Source organism: Homo sapiens, chromosome 22 (assembly GCF_000001405.40).
Source record: "Homo sapiens chromosome 22, GRCh38.p14 Primary Assembly".
NCBI lineage: Eukaryota > Metazoa > Chordata > Mammalia > Primates > Hominidae > Homo > Homo sapiens.
Window position 1 is genome coordinate 35,289,311 of NC_000022.11, and position 24,153 is coordinate 35,313,463.

Genomic DNA, 24,153 nt, shown 5'->3' on the forward strand with positions numbered 1-24,153 from the left:
TAGCCAGGCATGGTGGTGCACACCTGTAGTCCCAGCTACTCGGAAGGCTGAGGCAGATGGATTGCTTGAGCCCAGGAGCTCAAAGGCTGCAGTAAGCTATGATTGCTGCACTGCCCTCCAGCCTGGGTGACAGAGCAAGACCCTATCTTTTTTAAAAAAACAAAAACAAAAAGGCAAGAAAAAGGATGAGTACAAATTCCATAGCAGTTTTGATTACTTCTGTCTCCTTCTAAGAGACTTTGAATTTTTCTCTGCATTTCCAGCAAAGTCTTGAATATTCAATTGTATAGGAGATTAAGAGTTCCTCTGTTTTGAAAATAGGTAACAAATGGAGAAGTTAAGGTTCCCAGCTCTCCATTACTCTGCACTTAAATTATACAGTGCTATATGCCCTGGGGAGATTTTTGTCCTTTTAAGCTTCAATTTCAAAAATCACTTAACCTGCACAGCTGTCGTGTTTCATTTCTATTACCATATTCAATTTCTAACAATATTGTCCCCTTAGCTAACTCATTAGTATAGTAGTTCCGCTTTCCACCAAGTTCTAGTAAGACATTTCAGCAAAGAAGTCAGTCTAAGCTACTAAAGCCATTTTTAAGCTAAGAAATTAGTGTAGGAATGTAAAACTAATCACTTGCTTCAATGTGGAAATTGAATTATTCAACAAATAAAATGCCAAAGGCCACAAGAGCTGAAGCTATATCTAAATTCTTTGGCTAGTTTCTAAAAATTTTAGCAGTAGTCAAAAGAACTTCAGCACCTTCATATAGGCTCGATATCTGAATGGATATAGATATTTCCAGAAGAAGTATTCTATGACCTTACTTATTTTTCAGATTTAATCATTCTTACGTTTCGTAAGAAGTTAGAAGTAAAAACAGTTTGTTTTAAGCGTATTCTGAATTTTCCCAGATATTTCCATTTAGTTTAGTAAGTACAAAGTTCACCCTTTTAAAGTGCAGAATTTAGTGATTTTTAATATATTCACAGAATTGTGAATCACTACTATTTCATTCCAAAACATATTGTTACCCCTAAAAGAAACCCTGTACCAGCCAGGCGCGGTGGCTCACGCCTGTAATCCCAGCACTTTGGGAGGCCGAGGCAGGCAGATCATGAGGTCAGGAGATCGAGACCATCCTGGCAAACGTGGTGAAACCCCATCTCTACTAAAAATACAAAAAATTAGCTGGGCGTGGTGGCGGGCGCCTGTGAGAGGCTGAGGCAGGAGAATGGCGTGAACCCAGGAGGCGGAGCTTGCAGTGAGCCGAGATTGCGCCACTGCACTCCAGCCTGGGCGACGGAGCGAGACTCCGCCTCAAAAAAAAAAAAAAAAAAAAAAAGAAACCCTGTACCCATTGGCAGTTATTCCCCATTCTCCCTCTAATCCACTTTTGGCCCGAATTTAATCATTTGCATAGATCTCTGCAATTTTATAATTTCCACATACCACTTAATACTTTTACTTACTTTATAATTTTATTTAAATAAACTTGTCTGTGCTTTTACAGTGACATTCATGACATCTCAAGGGTTATATTCTATTTTTTTAATGTACATCGTAATGGACATATAATTATCAAAATAATATGTTCAGTAGTAAATTAATGTTCATCATTTTAGCAGTAAAACTGGAACATACAATGCATAAGTTAGAAAATTAAGGCTAGAGGCCGAGCACTGTTGCTTGTTCCTGTAATCCCAGGACTCTGGGAGCCAAAGTGGGAGGATCACCTGAGGCTAGCAGTTCGAGACCAGCCTGGCCAACATGGCAAAACCCCATCTCTACTAAAAATACAAAAATTAGCCAGTTGTGGTGGTGCACACCTGTAATCCTAGCTACTTGTGGGGCTAAGGCAGGAGAATCGCTTGAACCGGGAGGTGGAGGTTGCAGTGAGCCGAGATCACACCACTGCACTCCATCCAGCCTGGGCAACAGAGTGAGACCCTGTCTCAAAAAAAATAAAAATAAAAATTGTGCGTGTGTGTGGCGTGTGGTGTGTGTGTATCTTAAGAAAGTTAAAGCTAGAACCCAAATTGCAGAGGGACTTCATAGACATTCTGAAGTGTGTATACTTCACTGTTGGGGAACTACAGGGGTTTTTACAGTGGAAAGGGATGAGATCAGAGCTCTCATTTACTTTTCTCTGAGAATATCTTTTATTTTAGATTGGAAGTGAAAAGAGACCAGAATTGGGGAGAAGTTAAAACAATAATCCTAGTCTAGATGTGACAAAGATAAATTAGCTATAAATAAATATAGGGCAAAGGAAATGGAACAATATTACTAATTACTGACATTTTTGGGGTTTTAGCTATTATCTTCCCTGTATACTAATGTTTTATTGAAGGCTCACTCACCCAGCTTTGGTTCAGAGTGCTTAATATGAATTATATCATTTAATTCACACTGCAGCTTTGTGAGGCAGAATTTGTTCCCCCCATTTTACAGAAGAATAAACAGACTTAAAGAGGTGAAGTCACTTTCTCTAGAGTTTAGCCCCTAAGTGGTAAAATAGAGACTTGAATTTGGAATGTGACCTCAAGGTCCGGGTTCTTAACCTCTTACTGTACTGCTGCCCTCAGAAAGTATAGGGGGGAGATGTTGACAAGGAGGATGAGGGAAAGGAAGAGTCAGTGATGGCTAGGCCTTGAGACTGGGCAGTTATGTGAATGGTGGTGACTTTGGCAGAGAAATGGATGCTCAAAGGAGGGCTAGATTTGCATGGGAAGGTTATTCTTCCTTACAGGAAGTTGAGATGGAGAAATATCCAAAAGGAGAGACCCAAAAGACAGCCAGAAATGCAGTTTTGAAGATCAAGATGTTGGTAGTAATATTCATAATTACTGATATTTTTTGAGTACTTAACCATGTATTAAGCACCATCCCAAGTATATTATATCTATTATCTCAATCCCATCTGCTGCAGATGCTGTTAGTATCTTACAGGCACAGCATAGTAAGCAACTTGCCTAGGTACAAAACAGTGAGTAGTGGAGCCAGGATCTGGACCCGGGCAGTCTTGAATCCGGAGCTCATTTTCTTAAGGACTGTGCTGTGTTGCTTCCCAATATGACATATTCTCACACTGCTTCTAGTTAAAGCAGATTATACAAGAACTCGGCAGCAGCAACAGTCTTTCTTATCTCTTTGAATCACAAATAGACAATATGAATTACATAAAATGTTAAAATTTGAACCAAATTCACTTTGAGAGTGAACAACTCAACCTAGAAAAATTGTATAATCAGCTATCAAAAGCTACATACATGCAGGGTTGTAGGATTCTCATAGTAATCACATCTGAGCTATATTTGTCGAGTTTATAACAGATATACTTTGCATACATAATCACAAATCTTACCAACAGCTCTCCAGAGTAGGTAAAGCATTTTTTACTGTTCCTGTTAAGGAGACAGAAGTTAAGGATGTGAACTCCCCAAGGTCACTCAGAAGGTAAGAAGATGGGCTAGGATTACGGAAAGGGAACATGGGAATGTGCTGTAAAAGTTTTCTTTCTAAACAACTTACAGAGTTATCAAAGTAAACTTTCCATTTCTGCTGTAAAGTTTCAAATTATAAGAGTAGAACTGCCTAGGATTTAAAGTACTGTGTGAGGAAGTCAGCCGGAACACAGCATCAGGAGTGTGACTCAAGCAACAACCTCCTCTCCTTTTCAGGGTATGGTGGCTGTGTCTGGCAGTTTGTCAGTGCTTCTGGATTCCATTATCTGTGCCCTTGGCCCCTTGGCATGTCTCACCACACAACTACCTGAATTGAATGGCTGTCCCAAACAGGTCTTGGTGAGTTTTCCCTGGATTTTTAGAGTCAGATCCATTGGGCGTCAGAGATGCCCTGCCTTAATGAGCACTGTCAGACACACATAAGGCTTTGTGACACACAGTGCTTCCTTCATCTGTTGGCCCATGGAACATGATGCTATATTATCAAATGCATGCTGTACTTTCACTGAAACTAGAAAACAAGCCATTTACCAAAACAGTACTTAAGAAAGCAGCATTCTAGCCCTTGAGGTACTACAATTCCTGTGTTTCCTGTTTGCTATTCTGCACCCAAAGACAGTACAGGAATTGTTTCCCTCTTTTTTACGAGGATTAATGGGAGAAGTCAGCAGAAAAGTTCCTAGCATAACAAACAGCAGGATGCCGTCTTCATTCTCACCTGTTTTTCTAACTCCATTTGATTTTTCTTATCTCTCTCCTTGAACAAAGAAACATCTCTCAGGAAACCAAGGTACAGTACTCTTCAGTTGAACATTTTTCTTTGTTTTGCAGTCAAACACATTAGACAACATTGCTTACATCATGCCGGGACTGTGACAGCAAAGAATCCTGGGACAGAAACCTTATCCTACACCATTGCTGGTTTGTGTATATATGACTGTTGCAGATTCCTTCAGTGGCCTCTGGCTGTAGGTTTTAAATTTTTATATCTATACATACATATATACATATATATATAATGTACAATATATACATAGACTGTAACTACTTTGCTTTTAATAATTTTATGAAATGGCAAAGGTTTAGCCAAGAGGAAATTTTGGCATGAATACAGGCTTGGGATTCTTTTTTCTCCTGTGGTGGATAAATCTGCCTTAAAAATCAATGTAACTTGGGGGCTGGGGGCTTGTTCTGGGTGCCAAGCGCATCTCTTTATGGACAGCTAAAATGTGATTATTTTCCAAGCTCAGTTGGACCTCCAGACCCATCACTGACCATTTGCCTTACCTGTCTTAGTCTGAAATGTAATAGGAAAGATAACGGGAAGATGCCAGTTGACTGAAAATTCAAAGCCTTTCAATTTGAAGTGACCTAGGTGGGAGGTGATAAAATTTGTTCCCTTTATAGTTATGGAAGTGGCTTAGGTGAATTGAGTAGAGGGTTCATTCCAATTCCTACTGTATAGGTGTCTGTGTCTCAAAATTTATTGTAATCATTGGTACCATTGGTGGCCTCAACAGAGGCCAAGGAGTTCTGTGAGCCCTGGCAGCAAAAAACACCTTGGGGGGTGAAGCTGTCAATGCCACCAGTTGGACCTCCATACATTCTGAGCTAACCCAGAATCTTTAGTCGGCAGAATTAAGTGCTGGTGTCTTTCACTGGCAGCATGAAGTTAGCCACCAAGTCCTCACAAGCCGTGCTGCTTAGTTGCTCGGTGGTTATGGATAAACTTTGCCCAGCATGATTTTTGGGTTCATCTTATCAGTTCCCCTGGTGGGCAGATACACAGTGTTCTGCATTCCACATGTAAGTGAATTGCAAAAACAAAACAAAACTCACTCTCTTGTAGGTTTATTTATGTGTGTGTGAATGTGTATTTTAATTATGTGTATTTAACTCTTTAAAATCTCTTAGATTTTAATTTATCCTGTAAATTTCTGTATATATAATTTAATAACAGAAGCCTCCACCAGCAACAGCATGTGGAAGATACAGATTTGTCATTTCTCCCTTCCGCCCTCCCTTCTTTCCTTCCTTCCTTCCCTGTTTCCTTCCCTCTTTCCTTCCTTCCTCCTGGTCTGTTCCAAAAACTCTGAATCATCTACATTTTAAGGTATTTTACCTCAAAAATGAATCATTGTGTTAGGATTCTAATTCTTTATAAAGAACTTCATGGGCTTCAATAATGTCTAGAAAGTAAAATAAAGAGGAATGTTACCATCCCCAGCTGCCCTTATTTCCAGAGAACCAGACGTTTGTTTCCCAGTTGGAAAGAAGACAGTTGAGCACTTCAGGATGGTTTTTAAATTTGGTATGAGATTCTCTGCCAACACCAAGCTCTGAGTTAACTGTGCTTTCTTCTCCTGGCCCTGACAGAGCACTACAGCATCAAAGTAAATCTTTGGGGACAGTGTAGCCCATCTGCATCCTATTTAATTTCTTCCCTTCTCCCCACCAGTGTTGTCACAGGGCTATGTTGCTTAAAGGTAGTCTGGCTGCTGAATCCCTTTCTCAGCTCAGAGCAGTTTTAAGATTTAATTGGGAATACAGAGAAACAGGATTGTTTGAGAACCAAAATCAAGAGGAACAGAAATCTTAACTTGATTTCATGTGTTAGAACATTGTACCATGCCTCTTCTGTATCTGTGGAAGTTTCCTGTTTGACACAGGGTATCTAGGAGGGGCGGGGAAGACATGGATAGTATAGGAAGACATTAATCCTAGCATTGTCATTTATATACATTAATGAAATCCTGATGAGGACCTGCTTTTTGTTTGTTTTCCTTTGAAACCCAGCCCTATTGTATTTGTATTTAAAATTTGTACACATTTGTATAATAATCTGTACCTTGTGGTATTTGGTACTATTAGAGGAAAAACTTTGGATTCAGACCTTCTTGCAGTTTTTATATCATTGTTTTATTTTGTTTTTTAAATAAATTCTAGTGGTTTGATCCAAATCCCATTACAGTTGTATAAAGAAATAAAATTTTGTACTTATATTATTAAAAATCACATTTTTAATATTTGTAGTCCAGTCTCAGCTGTCTTTTCCCTAATCATGATCATCATAGTTGCTATGAAATTATAAAACCTGTTTTTCACTCTATTCTACCATAATTTTCTTAAGAAAAAAATCAACCCACAATGGAGATTAAATTTCTAATCTTAGCCATTTTCTTAATATACTCCTTACTCTGCTTCTATTAACTTTTACATTGTAGAGGTTCTCATTTTCTCTTTTGCAAATTGCAAATTTAGTGAATCTGATAATTCCACCTCCATTTATTGGCAAATGAAACTATGTGCATTATGGTGTTGGCCTAAATCAAGAAAATGTTGATTAATCTTATATAAGGGTTGCATCTGAATCATGTGCTAAATGATATGTTTCAGTACTGTCCTGTTAGCATTACAGTAATGCTGTTGATAAGTTACTTAATCTTTATAGGCTTCCAAAGTCCCATCTATAGAATAGTGTTAAAGTCACTTCCCTGTCTGTAGACCTGCAGCCAGCCAGCCTGACATGAATGTTTAATAACATTATGAACACTGAATATATGGAGATATGACCTTTCAAGGTAAAAACTTCAGTGCAAACACAAGGTGTTAAAAGTCATAAATAGTAAAATAATATGATTAATTACAAGGCTAATGTCTTATGGAAAGGCAGCAAGGAAGAGACTACCGTATCACTGAGTGACTATTAGAGTGATTTGCATACTTTGTCTCACTCATCCTCCGCCCAAAGCCTTAAGAATATTATCTCCCTTTATAGATGCGAAAAAGTACTTTTCCTAAGTTTATACTGCTAGTAAATGGCAAAGGCAGATTAAGAACAGTGAAACAGCTGACCCCAAACCCTAGGCTCTTTTCTACCCCAAGCTACTTTCAGATTTAAATCATGTCTATAATTCATCAGAATGCTTTCCATTATCTCAAGTCCTGAGCGAATGTGATTGTGGGAATGCTGTCTCAGATCTTTGCATTGTTCGGGTATCTAGCTGGCTTTCACTCTTGTCATACTATTGTCTTTAAATTTTGAAGGCAAGGTATCTTGATTTTTGTCTGTAAGCACTTAAAGGATTTAATAGATTACATTTATGCAGACTGTCAATCTTAAGAAATTTGAACATTTTAACCCTCAGTAAGGCATGATATTAATTTTACTAAAACACTTAAAAAGTAAATTGAAACACTTTTTACTAAATCAGTTTGCTCCTTATTAGCACACTTTTTAAAGACAGTTTTAATCAGTTTTGTACTAACTTTAATGTTTGCCATTTACATCCCTATCTACTATGTTGATAAAATCCATATACTGGCCAGGTGCAGTGGCTCGTGTCTGTAATCCCAGCACTTTGGGAGACTAAGTCAGGAGGATCATTTGTGGCCAGGTGTTTGAGACCAGCCTGGAGAATATAGCAAAACCCCATCTCTACAAAAACTAAAAGATATTAGCCAGGTATGGTGGCATGCATCTGCAGTCCCACCTACTCAAGAGGCTGAAGTGGGAAGACACTTGAGCCCAGGAGATCAGGGCTACGGTGAGCTACAGTTGTACCACTGTACGCCAGCCTGGGTGACAGAGACTCTGTCTTTAAAAATAAATAAATAAATAAATCCATATACTTCCATTTCTGTTTCAATAGCTATATAGTAATCAGTTTGCATGGAGTTGTTTTTCTTTTTTTTTTTGAGACGGAGTCTCGCTCTGTCTCCCAGGCTGGAGTGCAGTGGTGCAATCTCTGCTCACTGCAAGCTCCGCCTACCAGGTTCACGCCATTCTCCTGCCTCAGCCTCCCGAGTAGCTGGGACTACAGGCGCCCACCACGGCGCCCACCACCACGCCCAGCTAATTTTTTCTATTTTTTTAGTAGAGATGGGGTTTCACCGTGTTAGCCAGGATGGTCTTGATCTCCTGACTTCGTGATCTGCCTGCCTGGGTCTCCCAAAGTGCTGTGATTACAGGTGTGAGCCACCGTGCCCAGCCTGCATGGAGTTTATGATTCCACTTCCTGTTTGGGGGCATATGAGTTGTCTCTGTTTTTGTTTTTTTTTGTTTTTTTTTTTTTTTTTTTTTACCATGAATAAAGTTTACAAGAACTTGTTAAAAGCTTAAAGGAAGGGCCAGAGATGGTGGCTCATGCCTGTAACCCAGGGCTTTGGGAGGCTGAGGTGGGAGGATCACTTGAGCTCAGAAGTTCAAGGACCAGCCTGGGCAACATAGTGAGACTTTGCCTCTAAAAATAAATAAATAAAGGTTAATGGAAGAATCCAAAAGAAGTTCATGCTAAACATAACTCCATATGACCAAGCAATAAGGTTAAGTGAAGAAAGACATGGAAAGTGCCTTGACCTGAAGGTCATCTTAAATGGCCTTCTCCCCGCTTATACTCCAAATACCATTACTGAAACGTAGATCTATTTAAGCTTTCATGTGCTAGTTACTGGGTTAGACAATAGTGGGGAGCAAAACAGAAATAGTAGCCCAGCCCCCAGGGACATCCAGACTCGTGGGGGCAAAGGCATTTGTGAACAGGTCTCATGAGTGTTGTGGAAACACTTCAAAGCAGTTTTTATATTGTACAGTAAAGACATCGGACCCCATGGCTGCTCAAACAAGTGAATCTACAGAGGTGATTAAGTTCTAATTTAGGTTTGTTTTTTTTTTTAAGACACAGCCTTACTCTGTCACCCAGGCTGGAGTGCAGTGGCACGATCTCAGCTCACTGCAATCTCTGCCCCCCTGGGTCCAAGCAATTCTCATGCCTCAGCCTCCCAAGTAGCTGGGACTACAGGCGTGTACCACCACACCTGGCTAATTTTTGTATTTTTAGTAGAGACGGCATTTTACCATGTTGGCTAGGCTTGTTTTGAATGCCTGACCTCAGGTGATCCACCTGCCTCAGCCTCCCAAAATGTTGGGATTACAGGCGTGAGCCACCACACCTTGCTTAATTTAGGTTTTCTGTCATCCAAAATTTGTGCAGTCAATTTACTAGCCTTTCAGATTTAAAAACCACAAACATCACAATAAGTACTTAAGCACCCACAGTAGCCAGACTACTAAGGCCATGGTTATTGTATTTTTGGAGTACATGCCAGAAGAAAAGGTCATAACCCATAGATAGGTATCTAGTGTGTAGGTGTCAGCAGACACACCACACACAGCCAGGAAGGCTGAAGAGATTAGAATCACAACGCTGGGAAAGGCCTTTGAGATTCTTAGCTTGGGGTCCACGGTTGTACTTCAGGGACCCCAGAAACTCCCTGAGGTTATAAGCAAAATTGTATCGCTGCCTTTTTTCTTCAGAAAGGCTCATGGCTTTTGTCAAATTCTCAAAGGAGACTGTGACCTAAATAAAATATTTTTTAAAAATGGTTACGAGTCCTTGATCTAATTCCAGTATCTAGAGAAAATGGGAGCTATGTTTGGCTCACACAGTAAATTTATGGCAGAGACGGGTATTAAAGCCCCACTCGTGACTACATCTGTGCTTTTTGCCATCCTGGGCGCTAGAGGGAATTGCGCTGCAATTCATTAAATTGCCTCTCAGTCTCAACAGATGACAAACCCCTTGCCCTTGCCTCTGATTTAAGGTAAGATAATTTGGGCTGCGAGCAGGGTGCATCTTGGAGCGGGGAGACCTTGACATCAAACAGGAAGAGTCTTACCGGGACAAGGAGACAACAGCCCAGAGAGGCTGTCACCCAGGGTAGGTGTGCAGTCACAGTGAGGTCCCAAGGACTAAGGGCTATGACCCTAAGAGTCTCGGCTTCTGTGTAACTCACCCAAGTCACTTCCCTGGTCTACGACCCAGTTTCCCAAATGTGTAAAGGGTCCTTTAGACCTCGCCCTAAAAGGTCAGGGGCGTGGCTTAAAGAGGACCGCGCTTCCCGGGCCCCGACCCCAGACCCTACATCGTGTGTGACGCCCGCCGCCGCCGAGCAAGCCGCAGTGAGGTCATCGCCCTCCGCCTCGGGGGCGGGACCCTGGCGTCTCAGGGCGGGGCTTGTGGTCGAGCTTCGCGGTGCCACCGCCCCGCCCACGCCTCCTCGCCGGCCTCCGAGTGCGTCACGTGACGGGTCGGTGGCGCTGGCGGTTGCTGTCAGCTGATTCCCGGGGTTGGTGGCAGCGGCGGTAGCAGCAATGGACTTTCTCCTGGGGAACCCGTTCAGCTCTCCAGTGGGACAGCGCATCGGTGAGTCCCTGGAGCCCCCCACAGCTCCGCCCCGGTGCTCCGCACCCAGCTTCGGTCCCCTGGGAAGCCTCCGGGTGCCTAGTCACGGAGGCAGGGAGGGCAAGGAGGCTGGCGTGTAGCTCTCCGACCTGGCTCCGCCCAGCTTTCCTCCCACTCTTGATTGACAAGAACTTGGGCCATTAGGAAGCCTTGGCTTGTGATAGATGTATATGACAGCCAGTAGGTAAGGAGAGAGGGTGGGTCCGGATGCCCACGGCGCAGCCAATGTGCGTCTGCTGGGGTCCCCAATCGAGGGAGAAAGTTTTCGTGGTTAAAGGGACTGCGTGGTTGGCAGTGGCTGGGCCACTCTGCTGGGTCCCGCCGCCTGGGCTCTGGCCAGCTCCTTCCTGGCTCACCGGGCCCTCCGGACACAGACACCTGAGAAGGGCTAGAAGTCCCTTCTCCCAGGACCGCGAAGCCCCGGGCTTGGCGTCTTGGGGCCAACTGGCCAGAGGGGCCCAGCGCCGGACAGCCCGCGGCCAGGCCTCACAGACCCGGGTCTCAGGACGTGTCCGCCTGGGCTCTTTTCTCGACCCAACCTCAAATGGACCCGCACAGACTCTCAGAACCTGAGCAGACAGTGGTCGGACAAACCCTCCTGGTCAGCCCATCTCGGTGCTCCGTAGGTGGGGCAGCCGGGAACTCGGGCCAAGCCAAGCCCAGGGCACCTGGCGCCTGTCTGCTGGTCCGTGGTTCTCTGCACCCTGGTGACAGGATACTCACAGTTCTGTGACGCAGCCTCCCTGGGCCGAGGTTTCCTCACCTGTAGTTGGCGGGCAATAATGGTCCCCACCTCCGTGGGCTTGTTGTGAAGATTAAATTCCTTAATAAATGTGAAATACTTAGAACAATGCCTGGTACATGGCCAGTGCCATATAAAAAAAAACAGTTGTAATATTTATTATCACTGGGCTGGGCACGGTGGCTCCCGCCTGTAATCCCAGCACTTTGGGAGGCCAAGGCGGGCAGATCGCTTGAGCCCAGGAGTTCGAGACCAGCCTGGGCAACATGGCGAGACCCCGTCTCTACAAAAAAAAAAAAAAAAAAAAATACAGAAATTAGCCGGGCGTGGTGGTGCGTGCCTGTGCACCCAGCCACTCGGTAGGCAGAGCTGGGAGGATTTATTGGATCTGGGAGGTCAGGGCTGCAGTGAGCCCTGATGGCGCCACTGTACTCCAGCCTGGACGACGCAGGGAGAGCCCATCTCTTGAAACACATACACATACACACACACACACGCACACATATATATAAAAATATACACATACAAACATACATATACATACACATACATATATATTATATGTATTTACACACACACGTTGTTCCTGAGATCACCAAGTGAAGGTTAGGAATCCCTGGAAATCGCTTGGCAGTAGATCTCATAGGTGCTCATTCTTGGGCACCAACACCATGAGAACCGACATGCCTTCACCCAAACAGCCACACTTCTCCGGAGGATGGTTTGGGTGTTCCGCATTCTTGCATGAAGAAACCATCGCATTACCGTGAAATTACTCTTCATCTTTTTTGATGACGACTTTTCGTCTTAAGTCCAGACTGGGAAAACTTTAAGATGAGACATATTTTCCATTCTTAGTGTCTTGCGAAACCTCACGAAAGCTTGTCGACCCGGCTCTGTGTTGTAATCGCCACCGTGGCTGTCGGTGGCTCTTCCGAGGTTTTGTAATCAATGCTCTCCAAGGGGGAGGTGGCAGTCCAGGATTTACACACCAGGAAGCTCCTGAACCAGGGAGAGGAACTGCCCTCTCAAAGGACCCCTGCCCTCCCCGGACACACACCCACCCCACAGTGAGTCATGGTTTTTTGGAGCTGAAAAGAGAAGGCAGCTCTCCTCTCATCTATATTTCTCTGACTACAGAAACCACTGCTTTTATCACATGCCAAGTTTAAGACTTACTACTTAAAAATAAACAAGTAAATAAAAGACCTGGCTTCAAAGTCAGCCACATACTCTTAAGGCTTTCTGGAAAAGCTCACCTGGGTTCTGGATTTCAGCTAATCAAAGCAAACTTCTCTTCTTACCTTGAAGCGTTGCCTTTCTTGGGCAAGAAATACTTCTGTGCAAAGAGAATGCTACTAAATCATAATACCTTAAAGCACAAATGGAATTTTGCAGGTAAAAGAGCCTTACCTTGGGGATCTTCTAACCCAGTGGTTCTCATCAGAATTCCTAGGAGGGCTTGTTAAATAATGTCGGGGCCCCAACCCCAGAGTTTCTGACTCTCCAGGTCTGCGGTGGGACTCTAGAATGTGAATTTCTTTTTTTTTCTTTTTCTTTTTCTTTTTCTTTTTTTTTTTTTTTTTTTTTTGAGACTGCGTTTCGCTCTTGTTGCCCAGGCTGGGGTGCAATGGCACCATCTTGGCTCACTGCAACTTCCGCCTCCCGGGTTCAAGCGATTCTCCTGCCTCAGCCTCCCAAGGTAGCCGGGATTACAGGCACGCTCCGCCACACCCGACTAATTTTGTATTTTTAATAGAGATGGGGTTTCTCCATGTTGGCCAGGCTGGTCTCAAACCTGAACAGGTGACCCACCCACCTCAGCCTCCCAAAGTACTGGGATTACAGGCATGACCACCGTGTCCGGCCTAGAATGTGAATTTCTGTTGAGTTCCCGGGTAATGCTAATGCTGTTCCAGCCCATCCCCTTCATTTTACACTGGCGGAGACTAAGGTCCAGAGAGGGGAAAGTGGAGGCTGTGACTCATCCAAGACCCCAGTAAATTGACAGCAAAACTGAGTCATTGAAATTTAAACCAAAGCTGAAGAGGCTCCAAAAGTAGAATTAAGAGTTTGAGTTAATCCCCTCAGTATTCCATATTCTTTTAGATAAAGAGGCGGAGGAAGTACTGCTCCCTGGCTGTGATTACTGATGACACAGTATAGCTGCTTATAATTCTGTAAACCAGGCCCCTCCTTGCTGCAGGAGTACCATCTCTTCTCAAGCCTGCCGACTCCCATGCCCTTGTTGATAGTAGAGCTGTAGAGCCATATGGAATTGACATCCCTCAGATGGTGATTCTAATGATGCTAATCAGGAATGAGTGTCAGTCACTGGAATCACAAAGTTCTCATCCACCTCCCCTCCCAACACACACACACACACACCCCTTTGTGCTTGCTGGTCCCTCTGCCTGGGTTGCTTGCTCCTGTGCCCCCACTGAGGAGCTCCAGATCACCCTTCAAAGTACAGGGCATCATCACCTCCTCCCTGAGGCTTGCCCCAAGCCCGACGTTGCTCTTTTACTCTCCCTTTATCCTAGATCCTCAGGCCCCCTTGCCCTATGACTTTGGGCTCTGAATCTCCGCTTCCTCCTTGGTAGAATGTTACTAACAGCATCTGCCTCACAGGGTGGTTGCTGGAATGAAACAAGATAGTCCTCTGAGAGTGTCTCGCACAGTGTGAGTGTATGGAAACATTAGCTCTTCCTGTCATCATCACCATCATCATTTTTATTATTTCTTTTTTTTTTTTTTTTTTGAGACAGAGTCTCAAAAAAGGCTGGAATGCAGTGGCACAGCCTCAGCTCACTGCAACCTCTGCCCCCCAGGTTCAAGTGATTCTCCTGCCTCAGCCTCCCGAGTAGCTGGGATTAGAGGTGCACACCACCATGCCCGGCTAATTTTTGTATTTTTAGTAGAGATGGGGTTTCACCATGTTAGCCAAGCTGGTCTTGAACTCCTGACCTCAAGTGATCCAGCCACCTTAGCCTCCCAAAGTGCTGGGATTGCAGGTGTGAGCCACCACGCTTGGCTTATTTTTATTATTTCTACCCTCATTATACTAATATGCCACCGTCCCACTCTGTTAGTGGTTGTGCATGTCTGTCTCCACAGCTAGGCTGAACCTCTTGAGAGCAGGAACTGTGCCTTATTTCTCCAGACCCTCAGCACCTAGCACGGTGCCTGGCACATAGCAGGAAGGAGGAAGGGAGAAAAGGAAAGTAACATTTTGTGAGCAAACACCATAATAACTCTGCCAGGTATTCTGCTAGCGTCCTGGGTATTAATCTCATGGTGACCCTGTGCGGTTTTGCTATTTTTTTCCCATTTCACCAAAAGTCAGTCTAAGAGAAAGCATCGCTTTCCAGGGTTCCACAGCCACTCAAGGTCAGAATCCAGACCCAGGTCTTCTTTTGTACCCTCACCACACTGCCTCGAGCTGCCCAGTGCTTCTTTTGAATTGATGTCTGTCCCACCCTCCAAGAGCCACAACTCTTATTCTACCCTCAGATAAGGACATGTACATGGGTCTCACACTTGCAGGCCCCTCCCCTCATCGATGAGTAGGGGAGCTTCCCAAGGGCAGCACCCGTAGCTGAGAGGATTCCAGATCCTTTGTACCAGCTGGTGTTGTCACAGCCCTCTTCTTTCAAGGATTTCAAACCCTTTCCAGATATTCTCTGCAGACAAATCTTACTGGATCTGTTTTGTTTTTTGTTTTTTGTTTTTTATGAGACAGAGTCTCACTCTGTCGCCCAGGCGGGAGTGCAGTGGCGCGATCTCGGCTCACTGCAAGCTCCACCTCCCGGGTTCACGCCATTCTCCTGCCTCAGCCTCCCAAGTAGCTGGGACTACAGGCACCCGCCACCACACCTGGCTAATTTTTTGTATTTTTAGTAGAGACGGGGTTTCACCGTGTTAGCCAGGATGGTCTCGATCTCCTGACCTCATGAACCACCCACCTCGGCCTCCCAAAGTGCTGGGATTACAGGCGTGAGCCACTGCACCCGGCCTACTGGCTCTGTTTTATAGACAGATATCAAGAAACCCATTTTCCATTTCTGGCTGTCAGCTTACCCCTAAGCACTTGGAGTCCAAATCCTAGCTGATTGCCAACAGTAAGTTGCAAACAACAGAGATGGTAAATATGGGCAGTCCCTGGGGATGAGCCTCAGTGGTTGGGGTGGTGGGAGCTGGGTGTGAGGGGAGAAGAGCCCAGAGCCTGAAGACTGAGCCCTGGAGGGGAAAAGTGAAAAAGTCAGAGAGAGCTGTCTTTGAATCCACAAAAGCCAAGCCGGGGGAGCCACAGGAAGGAATCACAGAAGTGAGAGACCACTTCAGGCCCTTGGGGGCCAGTTGGGGAATGATGGGCTGGAAAGTGGACACTTAAGCGATGTTGAGGAGACACCAGGCTGGGAGGCGGGACACCTGGTTCCAGCTCTGGTTCTGCTCCTAACTATGTCACGGTCCCTCTCCATTGCCCATCTCCCCTATTGGCAACACAGAGGTGCTGTCATTCTCCCTCTGCTTCCCAGAGGATTGGTAAGGAACGACAGAGGTCATATATAGGGACAGGGAAGGGTTGATGCCAGAGGGAAGAAAGAAACTGATGGCGGGCCAGGCACGGTGGCTCACGCCTGTAATCCCAGCACGTTGGGAGGCCGAGGCGGGTGGATCACGAGGTCAAGAAATTGAGACCATCCTGGCCAACATGGTGAAACCCTGTCTCTACTAAAAATACAAAAATTAGCTGGACGTGGTGGCACACGCCTGTAGTCCCAGCAACTTGGGAGGCTGAGGCAGGAAAATTACTTGAACCTGGGAGGCGAAGGTTGCAGTGAGCCAAGATCACGCCGCTGCACTCTAGCCTGGTGACAGAGTGAGACTCAATCTCAAAAAAAAAAAAAAAACTGATGGGTGCTGGGGAGGACTGATAGAACTGAATGTGCAGGGCTCCAAGGGCATGGTGTGTGGTTACAGGAATAAGCAGTTCGGTTTCAGTATAAATAGCTATCCCCAGAGCCTTGCAAAGATGGAACTGGCTGCCTTGTTCAGTAGTGAGCTCCCCACCACTGGAGCTGTGAAGGCAGAAGCCGGGGTGGGGAGGGCGACTATAAAGAGGATTCCTGTGTTGGTTAGCAGACTAGACCAGGGTCAGTGAGCTTTTTCTATAAAGGGCCAGATAGTAAATACTTGTGGCTTCGTGAACCAGATGGTCTCTGCTGCAACTACCCAGTTCTGCCATTATAGCACAAAAGCAGCTACATAGGCCATAGGTAAATGAATGAGAATGACTGTGCATAAATAAAAATATTTATGGGCAATGAAATTTGAATTTCACGTAATTTTCACATATCATGAAATATTATTCTTCTTCAGCTTTTTTTTTTCCCAACTATTTAAAAATATAAAGACCATCTGTAGCTCGAGTACCATACAAAACAGACTGAATTTGGCATATGGGTTCATAGTTTGCTGACTTCTGAATCGGAGCAGCTGGCCAGAGGCAGAATGATGGAGCACACTGTTCCTCAAAGTGGGGTACCAGAGCACCCACACTGGGGATGCTTGAGGGTGCTTATCCCCACAGTGTGCCCATGTGAGCCCTAATATCTTGAAGCTTCTGTTTCCTGATCCGTAAGTACAGGACCCACATTAGATCCCCAAGTTTCTGTCTTGAGGATGACAGAGCTTTGTCTAGAAAGGGCTTTGTATCAGCTGTACACATATTAGTAGAGCCCAGGGTGAGCTTGAGTCAGACTGAATGGTCTGAGTCCTGGTTCAGTCCTCAACAGCTTTGTTACCAGGAGCAAGTTACTTAACCTCTCTGTTCTTCAATGTCCTCGTCTGTACAATGAGGATAATAATAGCACCTATCAGATAGGGCTGTCGTGTTGTTGTGCTATAAAGCACTTCCTGCCAGACAGGAAGTCTCTGTAATTATTAGCTGTTGTGATTTTTCACTGGTGTTATCATTCCTGGGACCCAGTCTAAGTTAGTAGCCAAGCTAAGTGCCAGCCCAAGATTCTGACTCCAGTGCAGCCTTTGTGATGGTCTTTGTGTCCCTGGCAAATGAGCGGTCACTGGCTGGGTGGCCACCACATTCACAGACAGGTCAGGTTTCAGGCTGTGGGGAGGAGCAGATTCTTACTTGGAAATTAAGGCCTTTGCCTTCCCCTATGGATAGAACTGGTGAATAGGTTTTATTCCCTTAGTGAGCTCAAAGAAATAAGAGTATAGTCCCAGACTTCCACTCTTCTGGTTTTAGAAAAAAAAAAACCCAAACCCTCAGTGTCTCCTAATTAGCTTGAGGCCATCACCCCATGAGAAGCAGGGGGATTCAGGACAGTTTAACTCTTTACTGCCTTACTAAGGAGATCTTGATCTAGGCCAGTGCCCTCCAAACTTCTGTCTTTCATGTAGCTCATTTGTGATTTGTGTCTACCCCCATGCCACCTTCATTATTATTTTCGTAGGGTTTTCTTTTCATTAGCTTATCTGTTAAAATTTGACCTCATCCTATATAATTATATCCATGAAATCATGGCTTTGATGTTCGTGTTTTTTTCCTATCCTGCATTAAAGTAAATAATGCAGGAGAGGAAAAATTTAATGTCCCTCTAAAAATGTCTTTAAGTTTGCCCATGAGCCCACCTGGCATGATCCCAGGTAGCTCATTTTGATCACTGGGACGTAAGCAGCCTGAAATGGGGTCACAGCTTAGTCTCCGCATCAGAAGAGCTGGGTTCAGGTGCCAGCTCCGCCCCTTCCCGGCTGTGTCCCCCAGGTCTCCTCCTCAAGGGACACGGGAAACTTAGAAGTTGATAGAGCACTGCAAAGTGCGGTGGAGAACCACTGTGCAAGCCCTGAGGAGGGGAACTGGGCCTCGCTCCTGCTGGGGAAGGTAGAGAAGGGAAGGACGGAGCCTGGAGTCTTCCCAGAAGGGAAGGACGGAGCCAGGGGAGAAGGGAGGGGGAGAGAAGAACCAGCCAGACCACAGGGGCTGAGACAGACAGAGAATTTAGGGACAGACAGAGGGGTCTACTGTTTGAACTTGTTTGTGTTGGTGCAGTATAAACCCTGTAGTGGTTAACTTTATGTGTCAACTTGGCTAGGCCAGGGGAGAAAGATAGTTGGTCAAACATTATTTTAGATGTTTCTGTGAACGTATGCCTTAGATGAGATTAACATTTAAATCACCAGACCCGCGTAAAGCGTATTGCCCTCAATAACATGGGTGGGCCTCGTCCAATCAGTTGAAGGCCTGAATAGGAAAAAGACTGACCTCCCCAGAACAAGAGGGAACTTGGCCAGCAGGCTCCCCTTGTCCTTGCACTTGGACAGCATCTGTTTCCTGGATCTCCAGCCTGCCAGCTCACCCTACAGATTTTCAACTTGCTAAGCCTTCACACCTGCATAAGCCAATTCCTTAAGCGCTCGCTCTTTCTCCTGTGTGTGTGTGTGTGTCTGTCTCTCTCTCTCTCTCTTTCTTTCTGCTAGTTCCTTTTCTCTTTTTTTTTTTTTTTCTTTTTTTTTTGAGACGGAGTCTCACTCTGTTTCCCAGGCTGGAGTGCAGTGGGGCAGTCTTGGCTCACTGTAACCTCCACCTCCCAGGTTTAAGCAATTCTCCTGCCTCAGCCTCCTGAGTAGCTGGGACTACAGGCGCGTGCCACCACACCTGGCTAATTTTTATATTTTTTGTAGAGGCAGAGTTTCACCATGTTGGCCAGGCTGGTCTTGAACTCCTGACCTCGTGATCCTCCCGCCTTGGCCTCTCAAAGTGCTAGGATTACGGGCATGAGCTACCACAGCCAGCCTAGTTCCTTTTCTCTAGAGATCCCTGACTAATACAAAGCCCACTCCACCCCTGACCATCCAGATTGTCAGCAATACCTTTTACACTCCCAAGTGGGGAGTGAAAACAAATGCCATCTGTACCTCAGCCAGCCACTTCAAGCCTCTGCCTTCACAGCCTCACTTCTTACCTGGGGAGTTTTAGAAAACCTTTCTTTATCTCACTGACATTTCCTTTTGTTAGGTACTATAGTTAGTTACATCGACTTTAACATTGTGGGTTGCGGAAGCAATACCCTCTGTAAGGTATTTTAGGGTTTCTCTTGTGGTTTATGGTTAAAAAAAATACAGGGGAGAGGCAGCCAGGGTTTTGAGGAAGGGTGGCTCAGCAAATTAGGAGATGGATGGAACTTTCCACGCTGGGTCTGGAAAGAGTTATTCCTTTGGAAAATAGTTTTCAAGACAAGTTTCTGGCTGAAAAAAAAATAGCTTCTGCATATTTGTGATTTAAAAATCTCTTATGGGGTGCTTGAAATTCTCAATCATGTTGTGGTTGATATGTTTGTAGAGGATAGCATTTATTTTGGTGCTTGAAATGTATACACTCCTCCTCACACATCCCTGGAAGGTGAGTGCTTTGGTCATCTTTATTCTGTAGAGGAGGAACTGAGGCACAGAGAGGCCGAGGAGTTACCCAGGCTCACACAGCTGGTAGGTGCTGGAGTCTGGGCAGGATTTGTCTGTGTCTGCATCCCATCCTCCCAACTTTTCCATCTCACCGATTCCCCCTTAGAACTGAAAGAGGCCAGGCGCAGTGGCTCACACCTGTAATCCCAGCACTTTGGGAGGCCAAGACAGGCAGATCGCCTGAGGTCAGGAGTTCAAGACCAGCCTGGCCAACATGGTAAAACCCCATCTTTACTAAAAATACAAACATTAGCTGGATGTGGTGGTGGGCGCCTGTAATCCCAGCTACCCTGGAGGCTGAGACAGGAGAATCGCTTGAACCGGTGAGGCGGAAGTTGCAGTGAGCCAAGATCGTGCCACAGCACTCCAGCCTGGGCAACAGAGTGAGACTCCATCTCAAAAAAAAAAAAAAAAAGAGAGAGAACTGAGAGACCTGCTGGGTTTCCCTTTGAGTGACAACATCTGTGTCCATCTAGAATGAATTCGTTCAGTAGTGGCTTCTTCTGTATTTCTGCCTAACCTTCTTGACCACATTGGTTTCATCCTCGTGCTTGCATTCTCACGGTAGGAAGCACAGGTGAAAGTACCAACTGTCTGTGTCTCTGTTACCAAGAAAGCAAAACCTTCCCCAGGAGCCGCCCAAGAGACACCCGCTTCCATCTCTGTGGCCAGAAGTCCCAGGGCTACTTCTGGCTGCAAGGGGGTCTAGAAAAGCTAAATGCTGTGAGCCCAGGGGGAGCATCTTCCACAACTATTGGAGTCAGCTCCACATGGTAGGGTTAATAAAAATTTCACATAGTCACTGAGTACAGTAATAGAAATACAGTATCTAGCAAGGACAGGTAAATGTGGCGTGTGGGTTCCCACACTGCATTTCCAGATGGACAGCATGGCTGGCCTATATCCAGAGGGGTCGGTCAGAATAGGGTGAAGGCTCTGGAGATCATTATCAGAGTGGAGTGGTCACAGGTCCTGAGGATGTTGGAGGACAGATTAAGGAGGGACGTGGTACTTTTTAAAAGTATTCAAAGGGTCACGGTGGCTCACGCCTGTAATCCCAGCACTTTGGGAGGCCAAGACGGGTGGATCACGAGGTCAAGAGATCGAGACCATCCTGGCCAATGTGGTGAAACCCTGTCTCTACTAAAAATACAAAAATTAGCTGGGCATGGTGGCACACGCCTGTAGTCCCAGCTACTCGGGAGGCCGAGTGAGGCAGGTGAACTTCAACCCAGTAGTTGGAGGTTGCAGTGAGCCGAGATCGTGCCACTGCACTCCAGCCTGGGCAACAGTGAGACTCTGTCTCAAAAAAAAAATGTATTCAGAGGATTGCAAGTTGGAAGAAGGATTAGGATTTCCACACAATAGCTAGTAAGGGATCAATGAGTGCCCAAGTGTGGAGGTGTTTCATTTACACTGTTATAAAGGTTTATTGTGCTGGTGAATACAGCCTCATCTTTCATTCAGTCATTCAGCAAACAGGTACTGCAGGTTTATCATGGCCCAGGTCCCATCTGGGGTAGACAGTTAGTCCATTTGTGAGCTATAACCGCCACCCTTAAAGAGCTCACAGACTCCTGGGAGAGAGAGATGTAGAAACAAAGAGATCGCCCAACAGAGTTATTTTAATCACTCCACTAAGCAGTGCTTAGAGTTGTGGTCTGTGGAAAATGCTACTGGCTGCTAGCTGGAAGGAATAGGCCCTGGCGGGGTGGGGGGTGTCAGGGCAGACTCCACCAGGAGACCTGACCTTTGATCTGGGCTTAGGAGCACGAGTTGAGGTGGGGAGGAGCACATTTCTTCCTGGAAGAAGGGCAGTGTGTTCAGAAGCACAGAAGCCTGAGGAGGGTGATGGGGTGGCTGCGGGCGATCAGCTGAGCTGGTGAGTGGGAGTGGGAGGAAGGACTGGGCCAGGTCTCAGTGCCGGCTCCCGAGGGCTTCAGTGGAGCCCGGTGCCTTCAGGTCCATGCCGTAGTTGTCCACCGCGGAGCAGTCCCGTGGGAAGGCCAGGGCAGCTGGACCTCACTCCTTAAAGAGGAATATTAATCACGAATACTTTGAGCTGCAGGTAACAGGAAACGCAACCAGCAGAGTCTGAAACCACCACAACAACGCACTTTGTTTACCTAGCAAGAAGCCTGAAGGTTGGCAGTTTCAGGGTGGGTTTGACAGCTCCACGATGTCTCAAAACAGCCAGACTCTTTCTTGTTCTGTCCTTAGCCTGGTGGCTAATCAGTGAAATACAGTGATTGTTGTTCTGGGAAGGCAGGGTAGGCAGGGGCAGTCAGCATCGAACTGAGCACCTAGGCAGTGCAGAGCCTCAGTCGGTCATTCCAAAAGTATGTAATGCCCCCCTCTGCTCTGTTGCACCAGAAGGTGGGCCCCAGAAGGTCTGCCCCAGGCAGGCAGAGGCAGTCTTCACAGGGACAGAGCAGAGTGGAGAGCACACAAGTTTGGAGCACGCAGGCCTGGCTTTGCATCTAGCAAGTCACAAACCTCTGCACATTGGCTGCCCCCACGACAGTTGGGGATGTGGGGAGGTGACACAAATGGAGGTCCTCCGAGCATCCTGCACAGGCTGACACTTCTTCACTGAATGATGGCTGTCATTGTTCTCCATGATGTTGTTATTGTCATGGTGCAGGATGAGGAGTGACACGGTCTACCCAGAAGGAGGCACCACTGAGGAGCCAACCCTGGGTGGGGCTTAGAAGATGAGGGGAGTTCGGCTGGGCACGGTGGCTCACGCCTGTAATCCCAGCACTTTGGGAGGCCGAGGCGGGTGGATCACAAGGTCAGGAGTTCAAGACCAGCCTGGCCAAGGTGGTGAAACCTCATCTCTACTAAAAATACAAAAAAAAATTAGGCGGGCGCCTGTAATCCCAGCTACTTTGGGGGCTGAGGCAGAGAATTGCTTAAACCCAGGAGACGGAAGTTGCAGTGAGCCGAGATCGCACCACTGTACTCCAGCCTGGGCGACAGAACAAGACTCCGTCTCAAAAAAAAAAAAAAAAGACAAGGGGAGTTCAGGAGTTCAGCTGACTCATTCCTCCTCTTCATCAGCACACCTGGCACTGTCTCAGCACCTGGTCTTTCCTGCCATGGAAACGACCTTTTGGAATTGTCAGTTGTGGCCTCCCACTGGACTGTAAACCACCACTGGGGCAGGACCTTGCTGGATTTGCTCACTGACGTCTCCCTGTAGCCTGGACAGGTGTTGAGAATGTTTGAGAAGCACATAGCATCGTGGTTATGAATATGGACTTGAGAACCAGACTTCTCTGGCTTTGAATCTGCTGTGCATCTCACAAACTGTGTGACTGCAGGCAAATTGCTGCCTTCTCCATGCCCCTGAGTTTATTCATCCTCTGTCTTAAAGGTTGTGGTGACGGGTGACTGAGGGTGTGACGTGCTTATTAGTCCCATGCCTGGTGCATGCTGAGTGCCAGATGAGCATGTGAACTGGATGAGCCTGACTGAATGAGGAATGGCATTGCAGACAGAAGCTCAGAGGCGTGAGAGGGCAAGCCACATAGAGGAAGGGGGTACAGCTGACTGTGGCTGACGCCAGCCCCTGGAGAGTTCAGGCTTTTGATCCTCAGGCAGTGAGGGTGATGGACAATGTTTAAACAGAGGAAGTTGTGCTTGGAGTTATGTTTGAGTAGAGCGTGGAGGTGACAGTGCAGGCCTGGGGAGGTGGCAGCTTGAGCCAGAGCTGTCTCAGTGATCATGAGACTGTTGGAATGTGCAGGATGGGAGCGAGCGGGCTCCAGGCTGCTTCCCAGAAGGCTGGTGTGGAAAGGGGTGATACTGGCCGGACACAGTGGGCAGTGGCTCACACCTGTAATCCCAGCACTTTGGGAGGCCAAGGCGGGTGGATCACTTGAGGTCAGGAGTTCGAGACCAGCCTGACCAACATGGTGAAGCCCCATCTCTACTAAAAATACAAAACTTAGCCAGGTGTGTTGGCAGGTACCTGTAATCCCAGCTACTCGGGAGGCTGAGGCAGGAGAATCGCTTAAACCCGGGAGGCAGAGGTTGCAGTGAGCCAAGATCGTGCCACTGTACTCCAACCTGGGTGACAGAACGAGACTGTCTCAAAAAAAAAAAAGAAAGAAAGGGGTGATACCATACCATGGCCCCCATCTCTGATCCTGCCCGTGGTGTGGCGTGTCTTTGGTGACTACTCATTCTTTCTCTTGGCCCAAGTCATAGTCA

At 46.1% G+C, this 24,153-nt stretch overlaps 2 protein-coding genes across 15 annotated transcripts in view, besides 8 other annotated features; both read left to right on the top strand.

Moving 5' to 3' along the window:
- The window catches only part of HMGXB4 (HMG-box containing 4), a 54,272-nt gene extending 47,775 nt beyond the window's left edge, over positions 1-6,497 (top strand). For 4 of the 5 annotated variants that reach the window (NR_027780.2, XM_047441067.1, NM_001003681.3 and 1 more), the window contains 2 exons: positions 3,682-3,804; positions 4,297-6,497. Coding sequence is in view for 4 of the 5 variants with exons in the window: in XM_047441067.1 (XP_047297023.1) it covers positions 3,682-3,804; positions 4,297-4,341 (168 nt within the window). In the remaining variant the exon portion in view is untranslated. The remainder of the gene's footprint in view (positions 1-3,681; positions 3,805-4,296) is intronic. The other variant, XM_006724101.5, reaches the window with a different exon arrangement.
- Positions 6,498-9,964: 3,467 nt separating this feature from the next.
- Positions 9,965-24,153, top strand: part of TOM1 (target of myb1 membrane trafficking protein) — a 48,699-nt gene continuing 34,510 nt past the window's right edge. For 9 of the 10 annotated variants that reach the window (NR_024194.2, NR_024195.2, NR_156428.2 and 6 more), the window contains exon 1: positions 10,584-10,670. Coding sequence is in view for 5 of the 10 variants with exons in the window: in NM_001135732.2 (NP_001129204.1) it covers positions 10,619-10,670 (52 nt within the window). In the remaining 5 variants the exon portion in view is untranslated. Of the gene's footprint in view, positions 10,069-10,583; positions 10,671-24,153 lie in introns of those variants that run through there. The other variant, NM_001135729.2, reaches the window with a different exon arrangement.
- Positions 10,159-10,681: an enhancer, noted in NCBI's record as "H3K27ac hESC enhancer chr22:35695462-35695984 (GRCh37/hg19 assembly coordinates)". NCBI's record gives its function as "activates a minimal SCP1, AML or CMV promoter by ChIP-STARR-seq in naive H9 embryonic stem cells {active_cell/tissue: H9 hESC(naive)}" and the evidence as "EXISTENCE:reporter gene assay evidence [ECO:0000049][PMID:30033119]".
- Positions 10,608-10,757: an enhancer, noted in NCBI's record as "active region_18896". NCBI's record gives its function as "activates an Ori minimal core promoter by ATAC-STARR-seq in GM12878 lymphoblastoid cells {active_cell/tissue: GM12878}" and the evidence as "EXISTENCE:reporter gene assay evidence [ECO:0000049][PMID:35858748]".
- Positions 10,608-11,204: a biological region, named in NCBI's record as "H3K27ac hESC enhancer GRCh37_chr22:35695985-35696507".
- Positions 10,682-11,204: an enhancer, noted in NCBI's record as "H3K27ac hESC enhancer chr22:35695985-35696507 (GRCh37/hg19 assembly coordinates)". NCBI's record gives its function as "activates a minimal SCP1, AML or CMV promoter by ChIP-STARR-seq in naive H9 embryonic stem cells {active_cell/tissue: H9 hESC(naive)}" and the evidence as "EXISTENCE:reporter gene assay evidence [ECO:0000049][PMID:30033119]".
- Positions 11,158-11,317: an enhancer, noted in NCBI's record as "active region_18897". NCBI's record gives its function as "activates an Ori minimal core promoter by ATAC-STARR-seq in GM12878 lymphoblastoid cells {active_cell/tissue: GM12878}" and the evidence as "EXISTENCE:reporter gene assay evidence [ECO:0000049][PMID:35858748]".
- Positions 11,728-12,249: an enhancer, noted in NCBI's record as "H3K4me1 hESC enhancer chr22:35697031-35697552 (GRCh37/hg19 assembly coordinates)". NCBI's record gives its function as "activates a minimal SCP1, AML or CMV promoter by ChIP-STARR-seq in naive H9 embryonic stem cells {active_cell/tissue: H9 hESC(naive)}" and the evidence as "EXISTENCE:reporter gene assay evidence [ECO:0000049][PMID:30033119]".
- Positions 19,926-19,995: a silencer, noted in NCBI's record as "silent region_13653". NCBI's record gives its function as "represses an Ori minimal core promoter by ATAC-STARR-seq in GM12878 lymphoblastoid cells {active_cell/tissue: GM12878}" and the evidence as "EXISTENCE:reporter gene assay evidence [ECO:0000049][PMID:35858748]".
- Positions 21,812-22,091: an enhancer, noted in NCBI's record as "active region_18898". NCBI's record gives its function as "activates an Ori minimal core promoter by ATAC-STARR-seq in GM12878 lymphoblastoid cells {active_cell/tissue: GM12878}" and the evidence as "EXISTENCE:reporter gene assay evidence [ECO:0000049][PMID:35858748]".